The sequence below is a fragment of the Homo sapiens genome, chromosome 13, assembly GCF_000001405.40.
Source record: "Homo sapiens chromosome 13, GRCh38.p14 Primary Assembly".
Taxonomy (NCBI): Eukaryota; Metazoa; Chordata; class Mammalia; order Primates; family Hominidae; genus Homo; species Homo sapiens.
In genome coordinates, this window is record NC_000013.11 from 57513672 (window position 1) to 57538081 (window position 24410).

The 24410-nt window shown below is 34.6% G+C and overlaps 1 long non-coding RNA gene across 1 annotated transcript in view; it reads right to left on the reverse strand.

The window, feature by feature from the left end:
- Positions 1-6560, reverse strand: part of LOC105370217 (uncharacterized) — a 62771-nt gene extending 56211 nt beyond the window's left edge. The window contains exon 1 of the long non-coding RNA XR_941983.1: positions 6215-6560. This is a non-coding gene — a long non-coding RNA (uncharacterized LOC105370217). The remainder of the gene's footprint in view (positions 1-6214) is intronic.
- Positions 6561-24410: the final 17850 nt, after the last annotated feature.

The window sequence follows — 24410 nt, forward strand, 5'->3', positions numbered from 1 at the left end:
TATAGTTCACTCAGATAGTTTCTGTATCCATAATTTAAAGGTGTTCTATGCCTCTCTTCTAAATTCTCCTTCTATTAAATATAATCATTGCAGATTTTGACAATAGTATCCACTAATTGCCATTATAATACAATAAAGAAGATAAGTGCTTCCATTCCCCATGCTATGCCAAAGCCCTTTGCAGGACCTAGGGAAAAATAAAAGTTACTCTCCTTCAGACACATTATTTACTTTTCGTCAACCTCTAAAATTCTCCATGAGAACACCTGGGCACTGCATCTGATTTTGCAGTGTTCCTTTTCTTTTCCAAACCTTTTCAAGCAATTAATTTGAAAGCTCCCAGAAAAGAGGAAAGCTTCTTTTTTTAAAAAAAAAATATAAACCATGAAGAATAACTGGTTTCCTGGTCATCATTTTCATTCCCATTACAAATCCATCAGATTCATTTTACACTCTGATTCCCTAGTGGCCTTTCATCCTGTTTATCAATGTTTTCCAATCCTTAGATCATAGGAATATCACATATACTTATGAGTAATAGAGATTTTCAGGCCCATCCTCACAGTGGCTTAATTATAGTTCCGTATGTTTTTGCACACATTTTAGTGTATAATTTTATTAGAAATATTTTACTACTAAAGCAATGATGTTTTTTAAAATGTTTTTGTAAACCAATTCTCCAAGAGGAAGGAAAGGAGAAGAAGAAGGAATTGAAAAAAAAGAAAGAAAAAAGGAAGGAAGGAAGGAGGCGGGTTGGGAGGGAGGGAGGGAAACCTTGATTTGTAGTATTTGCCAATTTCCATGATGTAAATACTCTCATCATGGCCAATATCCAGCCTAATAAGTTACTGTCCTTGGAGACAGTGTTGGGAAGAGATGCACACAATAAGATCTTGTGAACTGGTGGGAACCAGCTCCAACATATCACTGTACCTTGGGGATTCCACTTCTACTAAATTGCTTGTAAGTTTCCTACTCATATGTATTATTTACTGCTAGTACCTGTGCTTTAGTTGCTCCCTCTCTCTGATATACAGAACTTTATTTTCTGTCTGCCTGATCAATTAATTTCTCCTGGAGATACTCACAATCCATCCGGGAAGCTATTGTTCAAGTGACAGCCTCAGATTTTTGTAGTTAGGGATAAATGTTTCTTTCATAGCACTTACCACATTATATTGCAAATATCTGTTTAAATGTCTATTTTAATCTTAAACTGAGTCACCAAGAATTATATTTCATTCATCTTACATTTTACCAGAGCATAGAAAAATGTGGGACCTAAATGTTTATATGTGAAACTCATAATTTATGATAATGAATTAATGTAATACTGAGCCAGCAATTTCAATATTGATTTAAAATTGCAAGATCTGATATATATGAAAGAGAAGTTGCAGTAGGGAGGTGATAAGGTGATTAATGGATTTTAAAAGGATGAATAATTGAAAAAATATAGAGATAGAACTAAAAGAAATATAAGCAATGTCTTGTTCATAGTGTCAACTGGTGAATTTCCAATGTAGAAAAATCACTGGATAGTTTTATGAACAGTATAATTGTATTTTCCACAATTAAAACATTTATTAATACAGTTGTACATATTTATGGGGTACGTGTGACACAAGCATACAATGTATAATGATCAAATCTGATAACTGAACTAACCATCAGTTCAAACACTTATCATTTCTTTGTGTTGGCAATATTCCAAACCTATTATTCCAGTTATTTTGAAATTTACAATAAATGATTGTTAACTATAGATGCGCTATTGTGTTACCAAACACTAGATCTTATTATTGCTATGCAAATGTATTTTTCTACCAATTAGTGAAACCCACTTTACCCTTCCAACCCTCTGGTAACCATCATGCTATTCACTGCCTCCATGAGATCAATTTCTTTTTTTAGTTCCCACATATGAGAAGATGCAACACTTGTCTTTCTGTGCCTGGTTTATTACACTTAACATAATATCCTCCAGTTCCATCCATGTTATTGCAAATGACAGAATTTCATTCATTTTGATGGCAAAATAATATTCCATCGTGTATACACACCACATTTTCTTGATCCATTTACTTATGTGAATATGTGAATATGAGCTAGAACTCATATCCCATATCTGCAATAAACATGAGAGGCCAGATAGTTCTTCAATAGGCAAATTTTAATATCCCTTTATTTGGGATATTGTGTGATTATATTTTAATCTTGCTAACCACTTTTATAATTATACCAGTCAAGAATAATGAGGTAATACAATTTTAAGTTTTAAAGCATAAGCCTGAGATCAGGGAGATATTAATCCCATGTGATTTTACTCAAAGCCAGAACAAATAGCCAATACTAAAATCTAAATGTGAAACAGTACAAAAACTATCAGAAAAATATCATTATTGAATACATTTTATAGTAAAATCCCTTCAGTGTCCGTTTTTTAGCTTGTGTTTCATTTTAACTTAAATGCCTATATTTTCCTATGTAATATTTTAAATGTTTCTTGTCTTTAAATTCAACCTTTAGAATAGAAAAGTTACTTAATAGAAGCTTATCTTTGATACATTTAGAAAGAAGCTTTAAAATTAACTTCTGCTCAATATAGTGTTCACCTCTAGGAGCAACTTCATAAAGCAACAGCCTGAGCATTGCCAAATCACAGGAGCAATGAATAGAGTTATCCGGGCCACTCACAATGAGAAATGTGATGGAAGAACTGAGGAATGAAGCACATTTAAAACATACTTTCAACTTTCAGGAGACATCAACACAGAGAAAAAGTTCAGAATAAACTGGGTGGATATGAGAAGGTATCTTTTGAGAACATAAATACGTTTTACTTTCCGTTAATCCTTTCTGCCTTAATTTTTGTGGTTCATAAAGTGAACTATTATGTTCAGAGTTTGTAAAATGAGTGATCTGAAAAGAAACTTAAAGAATTCTCACTCAAACCCCAAGTTTATGGTAGATCCAGTGTAAAATCCATGTTTCCTTCAACTAATCTGATTTTCTATTCATTATCTTATATTGTTTCACTGCTTATCATCAGTTAGGAATTTTTTCAAAAATTACAATCTTCCACTAATTAGTTTTGTGATGTGATCAAGTCACTTTATCTCTCAAAGTCTTCTTGTTAACATCTGCAAAATGAGGAAACATGCCTTCCAGCTATCACATTGTCTATTTTTATGTCCCCCTCATTATTAATTACCAAAAAAATGAGAAAATGATTTTAATGTAAAGCATTCAGGAGCACATAAAACACAGAAATGGAACATTGTGATTGTCTTTCGGTCTCTGGTGGATTGCAAATTCCTAAGTAAAATATTAGAAATATTTTCTGAATAACTTAGGAATTTCCCTTCTGCAGGTCAGGCCACTGGGTGGCATATTGTGGTCAACTGAATGACTGTTCCCCAAATCTGTTTTCTTTTCCTGCAGGACACACAGCTAGAACTCACATCCCAGCCTCTTTTGAATATAGGTATGACTACAAACAAATAGAATATGTCACATTTTGTGTGATATCAGACCTGCCCAGTATGATTCTTCATGCTTTTTTCTATGATGCACAGACAGGGCTCCAATCTATAGGGCAGCAGGGTCATGAAAGACAAAGGAACTAAAACAATAACATGGAAAGATAACCACAAGTAGAAACACAGGCTTATAAAATAGTAATTTTGAGGAACACAGGCTTACAAAACAGTAGTTTTGTAGGCTTTCAAATAAACAAGGAACAAACACCTATTACACCTATTTTGTTGGAATACTGAGATTTCTGGGTTAGTCTGTGAAAGAGGTGACCATTGAGGACACAGTCTTATTTATTACTGTACTTTAGGTTTTTTAATATTCTATGCTTCAGATATTCTCATTTGTTAAATTGTATGTCTGTAATGAGTACATAAACAGTCTGTGTTAAAATGTCACCAAAGGCAAAATTTCTATTTCTATGTATCAGTAATTACATTTAATTTTAAATTAATATTGCTGAAAAATTTGTCAATTTAATTGAAATTCTTTTTCAAGTTGTCAAATAACTTAGCCATTTTAATTAATTACAATTTGCTTTTCTTTAGGAAAATTATGGTTTTTTTCCTTAAAAATTGTCATTCACATCCTGAGAGGGTCAGTGATCCCTGAAGGTAGACTTGGAGGAGCTTATTTCTTAATTTCAAATAGATTAAAATATGAACACTCTTAAAGAAGTTTAAAAAACTTATTTCCCATATGACATTCACATCTAGAAATGATTAACATATGTAGTTGTGATAATATTCTATTTATTGAGTTTTCTATTACTTATAAAATAGACATATATTGCAAGTGACAATGTAAACTTTTTACCAAATATTTTTAATAAATAACAATATCGTTTTTCTATATATTTGTATAATTTGAGCAAGCAAGCAAGCAAGAAAGAAAGCCAAAAAAGGAAGGAAAGTGGGCTGGGCACGGTGGCTCACACCTGTAATACCAGCAATACCAGCACTTTGGGAGACCAAGGCTGGTGAATTACCTGAGGTCAAGAGTACGCAACCAGCCTGTCCAGCATGGTGAATACAATAAATAAATTGTATTTATTTTCTACTAAAAATACAAAAATTAGCCAGGTGTGATGGTGCATGCCTGTAGTCCTAGCTACTCAGGGGGCTGAGGCAGGACAATCGCTTGAACCCAGGAGGCGGAGGTTGCAGTAAGCCAAGACCGCACCACTGCATTCCATCCTGAGCAACAGAGCGAGATTCTGTCTCAAAAAATAAAAATAAAAAAAAAAGGAAGGAAAGAAAGTGTATAGAAAACCTAGCCAAAGACCAAAAGATATTGACTATAATAAAAATTTCTAAAATTCATATGAATAATGAGTGGATTAAATACCAACTCTACAAATCAGTAATATTTCCTATATTAAAATATTAATTTGCCAGAGACTAGCAAACTTAAATAAGCCATGGAGCAACTAATAACATTTAAGGAGCAGTTTAAATAGCAGTTAGCAAACTTAGAATAGTGAGAAAAAGAAATTATAATGATAGTATAGACACCTTTGAATTGTATACATATATATTATATATAATATATAAATATATAAGAAAGTAAAGTAGGAGAACATTCAGAATAGCATTGATACGAGGTTGGCAGGCCCTTTTCCAAGCTGAGCAACCATTTACTGATAAACATTTTATTAAAATAACCATTCGAAATTTATGTGAAGTGTCCTAATAACATACAGGAAATGGATAAAAATGTATTTAAGAAGGTGTAATAAATATTGAGAAGGGCAGTGTGAATCTATAGTATTTGAGCAATCACCCAGTCCCATTTCCCCCACTAGATGAGTATAAAAGAAACTCTACTTTGTGTAGATCCTGTCAAGAAAGTAAGGTTTCTCTTCCTCTAGCTTTCGGTCTACGGGTACAGTTTCACCCCAGGCAGGGAAGATCAGAGGTGATCATCCTCCTCAGTTTGATGTTGCAAAAGATACCAAGAAGGTACATATGAGAAGACTTGCCTTGCCTTCTCTCTATCTAGTCCCCAGTGTAAGTGAGGCAGACAACCCCAGGTTGTTCTTAGTCCAGCCAAGTTCTGAAACAAATAAACAATCAAAAATACATATAACACTACCACCACCAAGATCTGGAGCATGGAGTAGGACTAAGTGTCCAGAGTTGCTACAATATATTATCCAACTCATGATATTGATATCCAATAGAGTGAAGGATATCAATATCATGAGTTGCTAAAATACATAATAAAAAGTGTCTCTTTTTCAATAAAAATACATGAGACATGCAAAGAAACAAGATAGTGTTGCCCATAGACAGGAATCAAAGAGCAGACAATATTGTTTGCATTTGAGGTAACCTAAATGTTGGCTTTAGAGACCAAAACTACAAAGTAGTAACTATATATATGTTTAAAAAATCTGGAGAAAACTATGTTTCAAAAACTAAAGAAAGGCATAATGACAATTTCTCATCAAATAGAAAATAATAAAGAGATGAAAAATTATTGAAAAAACGGAAATTCTGGAGTTAGAAAGTATAATAATTGAGGCGAAATACACTACAGTTGCTCAACAGAAGACTTGAAATGGCAGAAGAAAGTATTTTGTGAAGCAGATTCACCATGGACTTGTTACCCACTTATTTGAGTGAGACAGAACACGCTCAAATACAAAGTTATATGAAATAGATTCATTACTTACAGATATGCAGCAAGGGACAAAGAAGCCTAAGATCCACTGTGAGTTGGTCCCTCAAGTATCAAGACGGCTTCCCAGGGTAGATAGAATGTTGATTCACATGCTCCACTTGGATCACAGCCAAGGGACCCCAAAAGGCATCCCACCTGCGGTTGTATATATATCCCATTGGCCATGAAACTCACTGGGAAAAGTTTTGAAGAACATCTTGGCTTCCAGAGGAAAGAGGAACAAAGCCGCCGGTGTCCCTGTAGTTCCTATCTATCTCAAAATGTTATGTTCTCCAGGAGGGAACAGGAACAAGGCCCAGGCTGTTTCAAACAGTTCCTCCCTGTCTCAGGGTATTGCATTCCCAGCACATTCTATGGTTATTTTGTAGAATTGTAAGCAAGGAGGAGACAGGGGTTAGGAGAAAATTAGGTCAGTCCAAGGCCACCCAGAGAACTGTCCTGCAAATTAATAAACTTGAAGATATCAATAGTGATCACATATTAAAGAACAAAGAGAAAAATGAATAAGGAAAAATAAACACAGCCTCAAAGAAATGTAAGAAACCATTAGGACATTAACATACTTGTAATGGGAGTGTAAGAAGGACTGAAGAGAGAAAAGAATCAGACAAAAATACTTTAAAGCATAATGGCTGAATTCTTTTCAAAATGGATGAAAAAGATTAAACTACACATGTCAGATGCTCAATTAACTTTAAGTAGAATAAAATCAAAGAGACACATTCAGACACATCATGATAAATATATTGCTAAGCTAAAAAACAAAGAGAAAATATTGAAAGCAGCAAAGGAAAACAACTCATCGCTTACAATGAACCCACAATAAGATTAACAGCTGATCTCTCATTACAAACAATAATGTCAAGAAGTCAAGAATCCTATATCCAGGAGAAGTATGTTGCAAAAATGAAGGTGAAGTAAACACATTTCCAAAAGCAAAAACTAAGAGAATTCATTGCTAGAAGACCCACCTTATAAAAAATCCTGAAGGAAGTTCTTTGAGCAGAATGCATGAAAACACTGGTAAAAGTTCAAACCTACATCAAATAAAACAAAGAACACAAGCAAAAGTATTTACAGGGAATTATATATGTATATTATATGTAATTATACAAGGTTGTATAAATGAATATTACTTTGCCTTCTTTATCTTTATTTAAGATACAATTTATAAAACAATGTGTACATTAGTATAGTGTTTGGCCTATAACATGCAGGAATGTAACATATTTAGTGCTAAGAGCTCAAAGGAAGCATGCAGAAATAAAGCTGTTTTGGAGTAAGGAAATGATACCAGATGGTAACTAAATCCTCAGGAAGAAAGGAAAAGATACAGAAATGGAAAATTATAAGTTTAATGTAACAGACACTATAAATATATACTTGCTCTCCTTTCTTCTCTAAGCTTCTTTAAAAGACATCAAATTATAAAACTGATATCTAAAACAATGTATTATAGGGTTTATAACACACATAAATGGACTATGTGTAACAATAATAGCACAAAAAGAAGAAAGTAGAACTATGCAGGAGTAACATTTTTATAATCTCATTAGATTTAGTATAAATCTGAAGTAAATTCTGATAAATTAAGACAATAGGGTAAGTCCTATGGCAACCACTAAAGATATAATGCAACAGAAAGAAAACATACTAAAATAATTAAAATGTTACATTAGAAAACATTTAGTTAATGCAAGAGAAAGTGATAAAGGAGGACTAGAGGAACAAATAAGATATGAGACAATTAAAACACAAAAAGACAATGGTAGAGTTAAATCTATACTAATAATAAAATTAAATGTGATTGGATTAAGTAAGTTGATTAAAAACAAAAATGATCAGACTGGATTAAAAAAAAACAAAACTCAACTATATGCTTTCTCTGGGTTGTAGGTGTCAGATGAAAAAAGGCAGATCGGAAGTAAAAGGATAAAAAACAAACAAAAAAGATAGATCATGCAAATAGCAATCACAAGAAAACTGAAGTAGCTATACTAATGTTAGACAAAATAGACTTTAAAACCAAAAATGTTAAGAGAAATAATTAGTGGCATTGTATAATAAAATATAAATCCATCAGAAAGACATAAAAAGCATAAATATAAATACACCAAAAAAGAGAGGCTTAAAATATGTAACAAAAATACTTGGAGGAAATAAAGGGGAAAGAAATGAACAATTCAGTTATACTAGTGGAGACATCCAGTGCCTCACTTTTAATAATGCCTAGAACAACTAGGGAGAAGAGAAACAAGGGAATAGAATCCTTGAGGAACACTGTAAAACCAGACCTAACAAACATCCACAGAACATTCTACCTCAAGAAAGCTAAATGTATTGTCATCGGAAATGCACATGAAATATTCTCTGATGGACAATATTCTAGACCATAATTGAACCTCAATAAATTTGAAAGAATTGTACTTTGTATGCAATGAAATTAGAAATCAGTAGCAGAAAGAAATTTGGACAAATATATAGAAATTAAATAAACATACTTCTTTGACCACTGGGTCAAAGAAGAAATCAAAGAGAAAAGAGAAATTATTTTGAGCTGAATTGAAATGAAAATATAACATGAGCAAAATTCATGAGATGCAGTTAAATCCGCAGTTAGAGGAAAATTTATAGCTGTAAATACCTCAGTTGAAAAAGAAGATAGATGTCCAATCATTATCATAGTCTTGCACCTTGAGACACAGGGGAAAAAAAACAGCAATAAAAACTTAAAACAAGTTAAAAAATGAAAATAATAAAGATTACAAAAGAAACAAATGAAATGGAGAATAAAAGAACAATCAAGAAAATTAATGAAACCAAAATCTGCTTCTTTGAAAAGTTCAAGAAAATTGACAATTTTTTACTAAATTAGAAAATTTAAAAGGACTTTAATACTACTGAAATTAGAAATTACAGAGAGAGCATTATTATTGACCTTACAAGACAAAAAGAAAGAATTAAAAAGGAGTACTATTAAGAAAAAAACATATGCTAATAAATTAAGTAACTTTGTAAGTAAATAAATTCCTAGGAAGGCATAAGCTACTAAAAATGACTCAATAACAATGAGATAATTCAAACAGATTTATTACATATTAGCAGAATGAATGACACAAAAACATAATCATCTCAATAGTTACAGAAAAAACCATCTTACAATTTAATAGTTGATTATGATAAAAATATTTTTTTCAGAAAGAAATAGAAGGAAATTCCTTAACATGATAAACAGTCATCTACCAAAAAAAAAACCCAGCAAAATACTTAATGAAAGAGTGACAGCTTTCATCAAAGATATCTATTTTCAGAAAACATTCTATCTATACAGAAAACCTGATAGAATATACAAAAATGCTACTAGAATCAATAAGAGAATTTATAAAGTATGCAGGATGCAAGAACAGTATATAAAAATCCATGGTATTTACTTTACAAATTATTTTACTGGTTCTAGTAGCTTTTTAAATTTGTTCCAGGAATATAGTAGATAATAGTGTCTTGTACATTTCAAAATTGTTTAGATTTTAAATGTTCCTATTATTAAAAAGACAAGAATTTGAGGTGATAAATATGTTAATTACTTTGACTTAATTATTTTGCATTGTAATTATAAATTATTACATCCCCAAATACCACATAAATGTATACAACTATAATTTGTCCATCTATAATTGAAAATAATATAAAATAAATAAATCAGTGGTATTGCTATACACTAAAAATGAATGATCCAAAAGTAAAATGAAGAAAACAATTCATTTGCAGTAGCATCAAATGAATAACCTACTTAAGAATAAATTTAACAAAAAAAGCACAAAACTTATACACTGAAAACTGCAAAATATAGTTGAAGAAAATTAATATCTAAATAAATTAGGCAAATAATCCAATTTTAATGGACCAGAAGACTTAATTTTGTTAAGAAAGCAATACTTTCCATATTGATGCACACATTTCACAAATTACAGAAACTCCCAAACTGACCTTAAAATTAATTTAGAATTTCAAAGAAAGCTATTTATCAAAAAAAATCTTGAAAAAATGAAAGAGTTTGAGGACTCACACTTTTCATTTTCAAGCTTACTAAAAATCTACACTAATCAACAGAGTGTTGCACTCATATGGATGTGTATATGGGCACAATGAATCAAGACAGTGTTGCACTCATTATATGAGTGTATATATATATAATATGTATATAACCTGTATATATATATAGGCTAGGAATGAGAGTCCAAATACTTTACAAGTGATTTTTATAAGAATGCTAATGCTAACAAATGTTATTGAGACAACATGATACATCCATACCAAAAATGCAATTAGACTCCTTTCTGACACCATAACCTAAAATTAATACAAAAATAGATCATAGACATAGTTTTAATATTTAAAAATATGAAATTTCTAGAAGAAAACATAAGAATAAATCTTTGTAACCTTGGATTGGGCAATGCTTCATTAATACTATATGAAAAAAATATGCAAAAGAAAATTACAAATAAATTGTACTTCACCAAAAGTAAACACTTTCTTGCTGTAATCTATACCCATGAGAAACTAAAATCTCAACCTACAAAGTGAAATAAAATATTTGCAAATCATAAGCCTGCAAAAAGACTTATATGCAGAATATATAATGAACTTTACAACTCAATAATCAAAAGATCTAAAAACTCAACACAAAATGGGCAAAACGTACAAATAGATGTTCCTCAAAAAAGTATGCAAATGGCCAATAAGCTCATGAAAAGATGCTCAACATCATTAGCTGTTAGAGAAATGCAGATAAAAACAAGACTCTACTTCATAACCACTAGGTTAGTATAATCAAAAAGACAGACACTACAGACACTAACTAGTGTTGGTTAAGATGTGAAGAAATTGGGATCATTGTGCATTACTGCTGTGATTATGAAATGGTATAGCAGCCTTGGAAAATAGTTGTGTAGTTCCTTAAATTGTTAAACATAGAATTATCAAATACAACTAACAATTCCACTGCTATGTATATCTCCAAAAAAATAAAAACACATTGCTAGAGAAACATTTTCATGCAAATCTTTAAAAAAAAAAAAAAGCACTATGGTATAATAAAGACCTTTAGTCTTTGTCCAGGCTTCTGGTACAGAACACCTGGAGCCATTGAAATTTTCTGATCGATAAGGGTGATAGAAGAATCATTTCTTGTAATGAGGTGACTCTTGGAAGGCTCGCTCTTAGATACTTGCAGAATGGGGGCTGGTCTCCAGAAAGACCTAGACTTCATTACAAGCTTGACATTTTCAGCCCCACTCCCTTAACTTCTGGGAATGGGAAACAGGCTGGAGATTGAGCTCCAGCAATCCAGCAATGGCCAATGATTTAGTCAATCATGTCTACTTAATGAAACGTCCATAAAACTGCTAAGCTATTCAGGGAGCTTCTGAGTTGAAGAACATACCACATTTCAGGAGTGTGGCACACTGAGATACTATGGGACCGATGTTTCTCTTTGGAACCCTTATAGACCTCACCCTGTGTACCTCTTTACCTGTGTGTTCATTTGTATCCCTTGCAATAAACCAGTAACAGTAACTAAAGTGCCTTCCTGAGTTTTATGCTAATTGGACTATGTGGTCTCCAAAGTTGCCACAGTAAGAAAAGAGAATGATGAAGGAGGCAGATCTTCATCTTGACTCTCTCAGAGAATAAGAAACACATGTCACTTTATTGTGGTCCATTGGCCAGAATTAGGCAAATGATCTCAATCTCATCACATGGGAAGGTAAGAAATCTGAGAACCACATGAAGTAACTGTTAAGAACTCTCTCTACCACAATGAATGTATTTGAAAATTGTATATTTTCTATATGTTAGGATTTTTCTCACAAAGAAACAGTATTTTTTTTAATTTCAAGCATCCATGAACTCTTTGTATCAAAAGGTAGAAAGACTGACACTATGATTTGCTTTGACCAACAAAATGCTGGTGAAATGTTTTGTGCTGGTTCTCAACATAAGCCTCAAGGAGTTTTGAATGCTTCTACTGGTTCTTGAAAACTCACCAGTGCTATGTGGAAACCTTGGGCTAAACAAATAAATAAAGAGTGACACATGTCATTCCTGGTTAGGATCTCACATCAAGCTAAGCACTAAACATGGGTGAAGACTCTCTAGATGAGCCAAAGTCCACATAACTGTCAGGTTATGGCAGACTCAGGTGCCAGCCCATTCCAGATCAAGATGAACCTGGCCTCAATCCTGTAAAGATACATACAAATCAAAAGTAAAAACATGTCATTCACCATGAGACAAAAAGGGGAGGAAAATACCCCTCCCAGCTGGGCTCAGTGGCTGACACCTGTAATCCCAGCATTTTGGGAGGCCAAGGTGGGCGGATAGCCTCAGTTCAGGAGTTCAAGACCAGCCTGGCCAACATGGTGAAACCCTGTCTCTACTACAAATGCAAAAATTAGCTAGGCATGGTGGTGGGCACCTGTAATCCCAGCTACTCGGGAGGCTGAGGCACAAGAATCACTTGAACCCAGGAGACAGAGGTTGCAGTGAGCCGAGATCATGCCACTGTACTCCAGCCTGGGTGACAGAGCAAGACTCCAGACTCCATCTCAAAAAACAAAAACAAAAACAAAAAAAACCAACCACCCCTCCCTTTTCTTAGAGCAATTCTTAGAAAACTTTTCTTTGTAAATTATTTCTCTGTCCTTTGAAATATATATATTTATATAAATATCTCTTTTAAAATGTTAAATAAGCCTCTTGCCAGTTTTAAAACCCAGGAATGATTTTTGTAAGGACCTAGAAGCCATCTCTTTGAAATGTAATCATGAACAAAGACTGTGCAGCTATCTGCCAGTCGTGAATAGGAGCCTGGTGGGCGGGAGCCTAACTAGCTTAACTTCTGCTCTAGGTTTGCAAGTTGTTAAAGCTACCTCTTGTCATCAAGATGTTAAAGTTTATTTTACTTTTGGATAAAGGCAAGTCATTAGCATTTTAATTAGGAGATGAGTATACAACTAACTATATATGACAAATAGTCCCCTTACTTCAATATGCAAATGTGAGGACTATAGTTTATTATGAGAACATGTATGTGATGGATTTCATCTTCCTGAATATGTAACTGAGTAAGATTTTATTCTGTCTTTTTAGTCCTTTTAGTGGATTGTCTGTGATGCACAATTTTGTCTGGTTTAAGGCCGGTTTGATAAAGAAGTTTTTTTCTGTATGTTTTGCAGAGGAATTTTTGCATTGGCAGATGTCTTAATTATTTCTTACCAAAGAGCAGCAGAGCTACTCATATGACTGACTCTACACCCATGAGCAATAATAACTGGTGGTTGTTCTTTAACCAACAAATTTTGGACTTTGCACAGAATAAAAGCTAACAGATAAATTCTATAACCACCAATAGGTTCTTCTTGCCCACTGCACAGATAAAACCAATTCACTGGGACAGCAATATTGCAGTGGAGGAAGAGTTTCATAATCACAGAGCCATCCAAGTGCCATGAAAGGAATTTATTACTCAAATCTGCTTCCCTGATAACTCAGAGGCTAGGATTTTATAGATAATGTGGCGGGCAGGGGCTAGAGAATAGATGCTGCTGATTGGTTGGGGATAAAATCACAGGGATGTGGAAAATGGTTCTCATGCACTGAGTTAGCCTTTGAGTGGGAAATATAGGATTGTTTGCATCATGAGTCATGGGTTTGGGTGAGGTCAGCCTATTGCCAGAATGAAAAAAGTCTGAAAAACCTCTTCAAGGACCCATCTAAGGTTCTACAATAGTAATGTTATCTATAGGAGCAACTGGGGAAGTCACAAATCTTGTGACCTCTGGCCACATGATTCCTGAGCAACAAGGGATTATAGAAAAGCAAGCTAGGAAACAATGGCTGCTTATCATTAAACTATGCCTACCTTTTAGCAGAGTCCAGGCCCTTCTCATAATCATAATCTGTGGTCTTACATTAATCTTACAAAGACAGCTTTGGTCCCTGAACAAGGAGGGGATCATTTTTAGGGGGCAATTATTATTATCCTTGTTTCAAAGTTAAACTACAAAGGAAATTTTTTTCCATGGTTAACTTGGCATACACCCAGGAATAAATGAAGATAGCCAGCCTGTGGGGATAGAAGCATTATGAAGTCTACCATGCTAAACTTCTCTGTTGACATATTCTTTGCAAATGCAGCTTCAGTCACCCCTCTTTAACCCCTCTTTGGCTTGAGCATACTTCAAAGTGTAAACTATAAAGCTAGTAGAAGGCTGATGACCACTCCAACTTCTACCTGATGACAGGGGCATGGTTGGGGTTGAAGTTGGGCCTATCTAGAGAAGAATAAAACCACTTTGGAGTTGTCTGTGTTTATTAACAAGTGCCTGGCTAAGATCCCAATGTTTGTATGGCAAAGACATTAGTTCTCGTATTCACAGCTTTAGCACAGCACTTCAGTCAACAGCAAACCATAAGATAAATAATAGGCACTAACATTAGGAGTGAAAGCACTAGCTTCCGGAGTCCCTATAGAACTGACCTAAAATCTTGAGGCATCCAGGTGAATGACACTGAGAATCAGTCAGATATGGGGTCATCAGTAGAGAATCAAAAACAATGAACAAAGCTAGAATCTAATAAGAGGTATACTATAGTTTTTTCCTGAAACATATTTTCTCTCTCTGGTTCCCCATTTTACCAAAGAGAAATCATAGTAGGACCAATGTCTTTGAAAAATAAATTACAGTCTCATTATTTTTGGCCAGATTATTTGCATAAAGTACAGCAAGAATAATCACTTGCCATATAGGCTCTTTTTTCTAAATTGGCTTTGCTGGAATATTTTCATAAGGTATCTGATTAGGCCTTTTAAAAGCCTCTTGAGCCCAGCCAAGAATTCATCTGTGCCTGAAAATACCTGTATGAATCAGGTGAATTCATCTCCTCTCAAGTTTCTAAAATAACTTGGAGCTCCTGGGCCTGTCAGAAAGTAACTTAGAGCTCTGCAAAGAGACTGCATAGACAAGAAATGAGGCCAATTTTTCCAGTTGGTTATTATTAGCTCTATATGTCAACCTCAATTCTTTAAAGCAGTCTACTCATATCTGAAAACATGCCATTCCAGTCAAAGCCTCGTTGAACTTATGCAAATAATGATATTGCTATAAATTTAGAGTACTTACAAATAGTTTTCAAATTCTGGATAAATCAGGTAAAGAGAAACTTTTCAATGTTGTTTACAAGAGTATACTTTATTCAATTGTTAAAAACTCTAAATTGCTCAAAACAAAAAAAAGTTTTCTTAACTCTGAAAAGCAAAATAAAATGAATCAGTAGTGTTTCAGGCAAAAATTTATAAAGATTATTTCAATATTCTATTCAGTCCATGCAGTAAATGCTTTCTCTATTCAATACTCATGAACACATTAGCTCTCCAAGAGTAACTTTGAAGCTTTTTTCCCTATTCCAATGACACCATTTACAAAGTTATCAGAAACCAGCATTCACGAACACCCATGAGAGTCCTATAGCTGATCACAAAACTGCCTTTTGGAAAGAATTAAAGTAAAATAATAATGGTGAATGACAAAAGATAGCCATGGTCAAACACACAATTGACAAGGAAATCTGTTCATCTTTGTGGCATACAACAATTTAACATAACAATCATAATTCTTAATGATAACATGCACCCAGTCATCAGAATTATGAGTCTCACACAATTCTGGAATACATACCAATAACAAATTCATGCAAATACCACTCAAAGAAAGCCAAACATTGTTTCATACTTGACAATGCTTGCTGTATAATTGTAACTTACCAAATAAGCCAAATATGTCTCTTTTGGACTTCAGAGGTTCTGATATCTAAAAAAAAGTTAATGAGGTCAAAAGGACTAAATTTAGAACTTGAAATTTTGATTTTGGGAGGTTTGTCAAATATCAAAGGTTTTAAACACTTGATATCAGAAAATAGGATCACAGGTCATTTATTTAACTGAAATAACAACTCAAAAATTTCAAAAAAGCAAAACCTTTTACTCTGTGATAGAGGGAAAACAGGTTTCCAAACAAGACCAATAAAGACAGCATGAAGCCAACTGAATTTTTCTCTTCTCCCTCCTTTTTTTAATTTCCTATTTTTTCTGTAGTTTACTCAAAATGCAAACAAAAATCTTTATTATCTCTCAATATTACACAAAAATCTTGCTCAAAAGAGAAAACCAAATTCCACCTATAAATTAGTGCATTGTTGACATTAAGACTAATTTTTTAAAAAAATCTTATAAACAAATCTATCTAATTTTAATCAATTTAATCATAAGTTAAGATTTCCATAAGCCGTTTATAACACTTTACAATTTTGTGTCAATGAGCAGATCAGTACTCCGAGGAAACCCTGTTATTCTGAGACATGGGCCCAGATTCTGGCCTTGAATCACTGTGTTTTTTATCTTAATGTTTAATTTATAGAAAAACTAAAAAATCTTCAAATTTTGATCAACTCGATCATACGCAGAACTTCCTTTAAAAGATCAATCATTTGCAAATCTTCTACAACTTCAGTCTTGTCCTAGTATTCTTTTAACTTAAGACAATTCTTAAAAACTTCTAAACTAAAAATCATTTTCCCTTTAACAAAAACCATATTTTCACACCTTCTTATAACCTTTTACCAAATACACATTCTACTTTCTGTATACAACTTGCATGTAAACTGTTTCTCCCATAGTCTAAATTACATATGTTACAACATTTACTCTTAGCAATTTTTATTTTTAATGAAAAACCTGGTAAGTAGGCATTTTAATCATATATCAGATTATAGAGCACAGGAAAAGGACAGAGCTGCAGACAATGTCTGAATCTTCCCAGCATAGCCAAGGGGCTTGCCTAATAGCACATATCCCCAGGCCTTATCTAAAATCTAATGACTCTAAAACAGACAATTCATACAATTATCAAAAATGTTATAGAAGTAGTTTATGACCTTAAAACATCCAGCAGACTGTGTCAGACTTAACTCAGACTAAATGTCTACATTCTGAAAATTTCTATTTTATTTTACCAATTTTAAAACCACCTTTATTTACAAAACACTACTAAAGTCATATGAAGTAAAAAGCATTTGAGTTTCTATTTTTCTGATAAAATATTTGGTTTAAGCACTTACTTTTCATTAAATCCAATCAATTAGAGCTCTTCTATACATTTTATAGTGAAATATCACATAGACATAGACACAGACAGAAGCAGATTTTGTAGATTTATAAAAGTCTTCATGTATCATTTCCTAAAGTATCTCTTCCTCATTTTTGGTTAGTATTCTCTTGATCACCTGTTCTCTGCCCTAAACAATTGTCCAGTAGGCATCTCCAAGTTTGCATTTCTAAAGGGAAAACTCTTAGGTGGTATGAAATAGAGAATTTATATTTTACTCAAACCAAGGAAAAATGGTGTGAGTAAAAGCTCAGTTAAGATAGCCAGGAAAAGCAGACTGTCTTACACATGGAGATTTCCTTAAAGATATGTTTCTTAATTGGATTACTGGCTTTAGGGTGGAACCCTTTAAAGAACAGGACCAGGAAAACATGCAATTTTTAGGGCCTAATATGCAGGCACAGATGGAAGACAGAAGAAATTCCTCAAAATCAAGGATCCTATTTTTATACTGAATCCTGGATCACAAAAGAGGGAAACACTATGGGATGAGACATGAAAATGCCTTTACAGTACACTTTATTGCAAGGACATTCTGGTGGACAACAGAAAGCCAATCAGCCGCCCATCCCCCACTGGAGTCTTATCCCTCATTCCATACCTTCTAAGTGCCCAAGAGCACACTTCTCTTACATAAACACACAAAGAAGAGAGTATTGCCCTGTAGTAATAATCACTCACTGTAAGCAACTGCCATTAGCCATTTCTAAAAGCATATCCCTTACCTACTTATTACACACCAAGGTTAAAATTTTCTCATAATATAATTTCTAATGCCCCCTCAAAGTCAAAAACATCAGGAAAAGCAATGCAATAGAGAGCAGAGTTTTAGATTTTCATAGAAATCTGCCCACTTAGAACTCTGGGGGTTCCATGAGGAAAACAGAGATTCCTCCCAAAACAGAGTCTTTACTGCTTTTTCTGTTTTCCCCAGGGGGTCCCAGTCTGTTAGAAATTATTTTAGATCCTTTCATGTGGGCATCAATAGTGAAAAGATGAAGGAAGGATGGACAGAAGCAAACAGAGAAACAGGCAGAATTCAATTGACTAGGTTTTTACAGAGAAAGAGAGGAGAGGCTTTAAGACAATATACGTACATACATAGCCTAAATAACCTTTTCAGTTAAATTGATTTTAACAATGGAGCTCTTAAAGGAAATTTTTCCAGATATTTTATTACCAAATTTTAGCCAAGACAAACAATATTTCTGGTTTTTAAACTTCTTTATCAGAGGTAACCTCCCACAGGAAACCAGTTAAGTCCTAAGGTTATGACTTAACCATGGTTGCAAGAGATGTCTCCAAAGTAAGCAGTTTTTGCAAGATCTAGAATTACCACAAAGGTGGCTCAGGGAATAGAAAATTCAAGATAGGACATTGGAAGTTGTCCAGGAAGGGGAAAAGAATCAGTAAGTGGCAAAAGTCACACAAATATCAAACCAGAAAGGACTCATTCTCAAAGCCAGGAATCAAACCCAAGCCACCACAGTGAAAGACTTAGCTCCTGAGCTACAGCTTGGGATGCCTGCCATTTCTCTTCCCAGAAGGAATCTAAAGGAGTTTTTTGACTTTGCAAAGGATTTCAACTCTCAAGATAATATTTAAAGCTAGCCAAGACATTATTATGTGTTCTTCTTTAACTTAACCATTTTTCCAGTTGTTTAGAATAAAAGATCTCTAAAATTCTTTTTCTTCTAATGGTGTACTTAGTTCAAATAGTGACTCAATCCAAAATCTTTTTTAAAGACCAAATGCTAATTTTCTAAGTTTTCACCATATAAATAGGAAATATTCCTAGAGCAAGCATAGAGGAGGCATCCTCATGATCCCCAAAACTTCATTTTCAGGAATGGGCTTAGAATAGAAAAAGATGACAAAAGCCCTATAGGGATTGGAAAGACAAAACTCATTTAAGGGCTTAAGACATTTGAAACAAAAAATATGCTGATGGTCCTCAGACTCCCAGTCCTTTCAGACTGGTCTCTTTGATATAAACCCCAAAATTCATGCCCTCCAGATAAAAGATAGCATACTCTTACATGGTCATAAGGTCAAACTCTCAAGGTTATAAAGCAAGATAAGAGGGAAGCCTCATCTGATTTTTGTTTCAGGGACCCACAGCAAAGTTCTTAACTGACCAATCTGCAGGGCTGGCTTGAATAGTGAGCTTATAGGAATCCTAGGCCTGTGTTCTATTCTATAGTACCCCTCTTTATGAAAGAACAATGGAGAAAGACAAAAACAAAGGATAATAGTCAAATATGGGCTATTTCTGAGAGGAAAGAGGGTCAAAGAATATGAACATTCATAGCACAAAGTACTGAAAGTACATCAGAGTTGCTACAACCTAAGACTAGTCACACAAATTCTTTCTGTCATTAATCAAAACTTTGCAGAGGAGGCAGTGATTTTTACCGTCCACTCAACTAGTTTGTGCACAGAGAGAGGACATAAGCCTAGGTGGTAAGAAATTTTTACTATTTTGCTGGCTTGTCAGGTTCCTGGGTTTCCTCTCTTTGTGGCTTCCAGAAGAATGGAGCAGCTTTTGATGACCCTGCCCACTGCATCATAGCTGTGGGGGCCAAGCTGTGTTACAAAAGAAAAATCATCCTTTTTCATTTCATGAAACCATAGGCAACAGACTCCCAATTTTGCAAGGTTCTGTCCAACAAGCTGCATGGGGGGAACTGTATTAAGATTTCTCATATCAGACACAGTGAAATACACACAATGAAATGCAGACATCAAAGACAAGCCAGAGGCCTTCCAGAACCAGATTCCAAACAAGGAAAGCATGTTCTTCCAAAAAAACAAACAAACAATAACAACAAAAAATCCAGAAACAAACTAACAAAAAAAATCCTGTTCTCGCTTCAAGGGAGGATAAATCTACCCAAACCATGACTCTTCCCACAACCTAGGGAGAGCTAACCAGAACCCACAAAGGAGCCACCCAGAAGCTACAAAAGGGGCCAACCAGAAGCTTCAAAGGGGAGGAAACACAACCAACAGTGGGGCCAACCAGAACCTGCAAAAGGGACCAACCAGATCAGGAGAAGGAAGGGAATGTTGGTTACACTTAGAATACTCACTAGACCAATTGAACCCGTTCTCTACTGTAAGCGGGCACAACCACTATGGGTTGACAGTGCCTTACAAGCAGAGACAGCCCTAGAGATGGCCCTCTGTTCAAGAGAAATGAGCAGCCACCAGGACTCTGTCGAAGTCTGCTGTACCAGTGAGAGACTGCTGAACTGCCAGCAGGTGCCTTGCAAGGGGAATACTGGGTGAGTTCTCAAATTTGTAATCACTTGACAGGTTCTTCTTGCTTACTACACAGGTAAACCAACTCACTGAGACAGCGGTATTTCAGTAGAGAAAGAGTTTAATGTAAGTCTAGCCACTTGGAAGGACAGGAGTTTATTACTCAAATCAGCCTCCCTGAGAACTCAGAAGCAAAGGTTTTTATGGATAATTTGGTAAGCAGGGGTCTAGGAAGTGGGTGCTGCTGAATGGTTGGGATTGAAATCATAGGCATATGGAAAATGGTCTTCATACACTAAATCAGCCTGTGGATGGAGGCCAGAGGACCAACTGAGTCATGAGTCACAGATCTGCTTGAAGTCAGTCAGTCACCAGCATGCAAAAGTCTGAAAACCTCTCAAAAGACAAATCAGGTTCTACAATAGTAATGTTTTCTACAGGAGCCACTGAGGAAGTCACAAATCTTGTGACCTCTGGCCACATGACTCCTGAATAGGAAGGGATTATAGAAAAGCAAGCTAGGGAACAATGGCTGCTTATCATTTAACTGTGTCTACATTTTAGCAGAATTCAGGCCTTTCTCGTAATCCTAATCTTGTGGCCTTCCATTAGTCTTACAAAGGCAATTTCCATCCCTGAACAAGGAGGGGGTCAGTTTTAGGAAGGCACGATTATCCTTGTTTCAAAGTTAAATTATAAACTAAATTCTTCTCATGGTTAGCTTGGCCTATACCCAGGAATGAGTGAGGACAGGCAACCTGCTGGGTGAGAGGGAATATGGCTTCAGCCATGCTAGACTTCTTTTGTTGTCATAATCTTTGCAAAGCCTATTTCAGTTCTGTACCACTTTAAGATTATTATGTAGAATTTCAAACATATACAAATGTAGAAAGGAAATTGTTATAAACCTTTATGCATCTGTCACTTATATTAAAAAATTAACAACTCATGGCAACTCTTGTTTCATCAATATCTAAAACCACTTCTCCTTATGATTTCTGAACAAACCAGGACCTTTCGCCTCTGTACATCATTAAAACACATAGTCAACTACTCACTAAATATATGGTTGATAAAAGAAGAGAGAAATATTCAGAGTGAAGAAGAATACCTGGACAATATTATCCGTATGGTATAAAATCTTAGAGAGTTATTTTCAACTTTATTTATTTATTTGAGACAGGGTCTTACTCTATCACCTGGGCTGGAGTACAGTGGTGCAATTTTGGCTCACTGCAACCTCTGCCTTGCAGGCTCAAGCGATCCTCCCATTTCAACCTCCTGAGTAGCTGGGATCACACAGGCGCACACCATCATGCCTGGCTATTTTTTCATATTTTTGGTAGAGATGGGGATTCACCATGTTGTCCAGGGTGGTCTCAAACTCCTGAGTTCAAGTAATCAGCCCACCACACTTGGTCTATTTACTTATTTTCAGTTTTTGGCTTCAAATTTATAGTCACTAGAATGTAATTTAAACTTGAGTGTGAATTATCCCCCAAAAATACAAAAATAATTTTTTATCTTCTTTACAATATTTATCACAAGATGTGAATTTAAGTATGATTTACTCATTTTAATTTCCTTTTCTCTTTCATTTTTCTTTTCTTGAATTTTTTTAAAGTAAAGGAAGTAACTGAAGAGTATTAATGTAATATTAAGTTTATTAGGTTAAAAAAGAGCTATCTCATAATTAGATTATGTGACAGGATTGTCATCTTGCTTTAATGCTTTTTTTCACACTAAAAAATAGTGTAATCATATACCAGACTGATATAGTACTGTTCTCCCATAAAAAATTATACAAACAAAAACAAGCAAATGAACAATGTTATAACATTTTAAATATTTATTCTTAACAAGTCTACATCATATAATCTTATTATGTAACAGCGATGCTATTTATGTGTCTTATTAATCCACAGATAATATATTTAAGAAATTAAGAAGTTGGTAAGTATTTCTGAGCTGTGCAGTGTGGGGGCCAAGGGCCTAGTGTTTTGCTGCAAGTTACTGACATGAGGAAGATTAATTAATAATAGAAAAGGCATACAGATATGTTTAACTTCTAATCACATGAGCCTTCAGAAAGAAGACCCAAAAATGCAAAGGGAATTTTCCATGTTTATGCTTAGGTTCAACAAAGTACAAGCAGCCATGTAGAAATATGATTGGACTGAAAGGGTATGATCTGTTGCGAACGAACTGAGTGAGAAACCCAGCGAGGCCTGTCCACCTGGATTCTTCTTGGCCTCTTTCAGCAGCGTTTCTTCCTTCTGGGTATGGGGCAGTACCCTCTCTGGAATGGGGGTCTTTTGATCTACAGTCATACAAGGTACATCAGATAATTTCTTTATAGAAAATTTTTACACAGAAAGGTGGAGAGAAAATTAGAGTAATGGTTTAGGTTTTATGACTCGCTTTGGGGAGAAAGAATTCTGTTTTCTATGACTCGCCTTGCAGAAGAGAGATTCTAGTTTCTGTGGCTAGCCTCAGGGAAGAATGGGAGTGAGAGACGGGAGGGCAGGTAAAGGTCAGAGAAAAGCTTGCTTCTGAGGCTGCTGCTGAGGCCTTCATTTTGGGGGTACTGTTTTCTGAGCCCCAACAGCAGCATATATTTGTTTATATTTGTGAGGTAGTAATTAGAAGAATTTTGGTTGGGCTGCACATGAAGGATATTTTGAGAGCATAAGTACTTGTCCTCATGGTTCCAATAAAGAAAAACAAAATGGAAAAATAAAACCCTTATCAGGAAATATTTCCAGCTTTCTGATTTTCTGATACACACACACGTATGCACACACACACACACACACACAAATGCACACACAAATATATATATATATACACATATATATACATATTTCTCTTTCAGACCTCCCAGTCTGATGGAGAAAATGAACTAGACTTCAGGATAAACCCTAAACTTCAGAGCCAAATGACGTATTTTTACCCCAAGCTTCTCATACCTATTAAACCAAAAATAGTAGTTTTCTGCTTTTCCAAATGTCTATATATCTTAATTTCCTGCACACTGCTCAGTTGCTCATCTTTCTTCCTCTATAAAATGAAGATATAACTTTCTCTCTATCCTTCCCCACTCCCATCAGCAGTCCTCGAAACTTGGGATTTGAATTTTATTAACAACAAATGCAAAGACAATCTACATAGTGGACACAGTGAAAATCTTAATAATTAATAATAGCTAAGAACGGCATTCATTAATGTAATGCTGTATTTCATATTTGTAAGTCCCACTCTATAGATTTTAAGAAATTTAGAAAAGTGGATTAGAAGTATTTGCTTATACCTTATCTGAGAGAAGAATAAACTGGGTTACCACAGGGTTTATTCATTTCAGAAAGCAAGAAGTGCTTCATTCCTTGCCCGTAGATGACAGGGGAAAACAAGGCATGATATAGAAATATATTTAACATATTATGAAGACACTAGATTGTATTGCTGTACCCAATTATTTATTCCTTTCTTTGTAACATCCAAACTATTGCCTTGAAACCTTCAGTGCTTTCTGTGGGAGGGGTCTTTCCCAGTCCATTGCTCTTATAGCTTGGCAGGTGACTTGATTTGACCAGGAAAATGTGGATGAAATGGAATTACATTTCAAAAGTTACCATTCTGTCCAGAGCTGCATCACAAGAACATCTTATCCAAAACAAAGTTGGGTCCTTCAGTCTG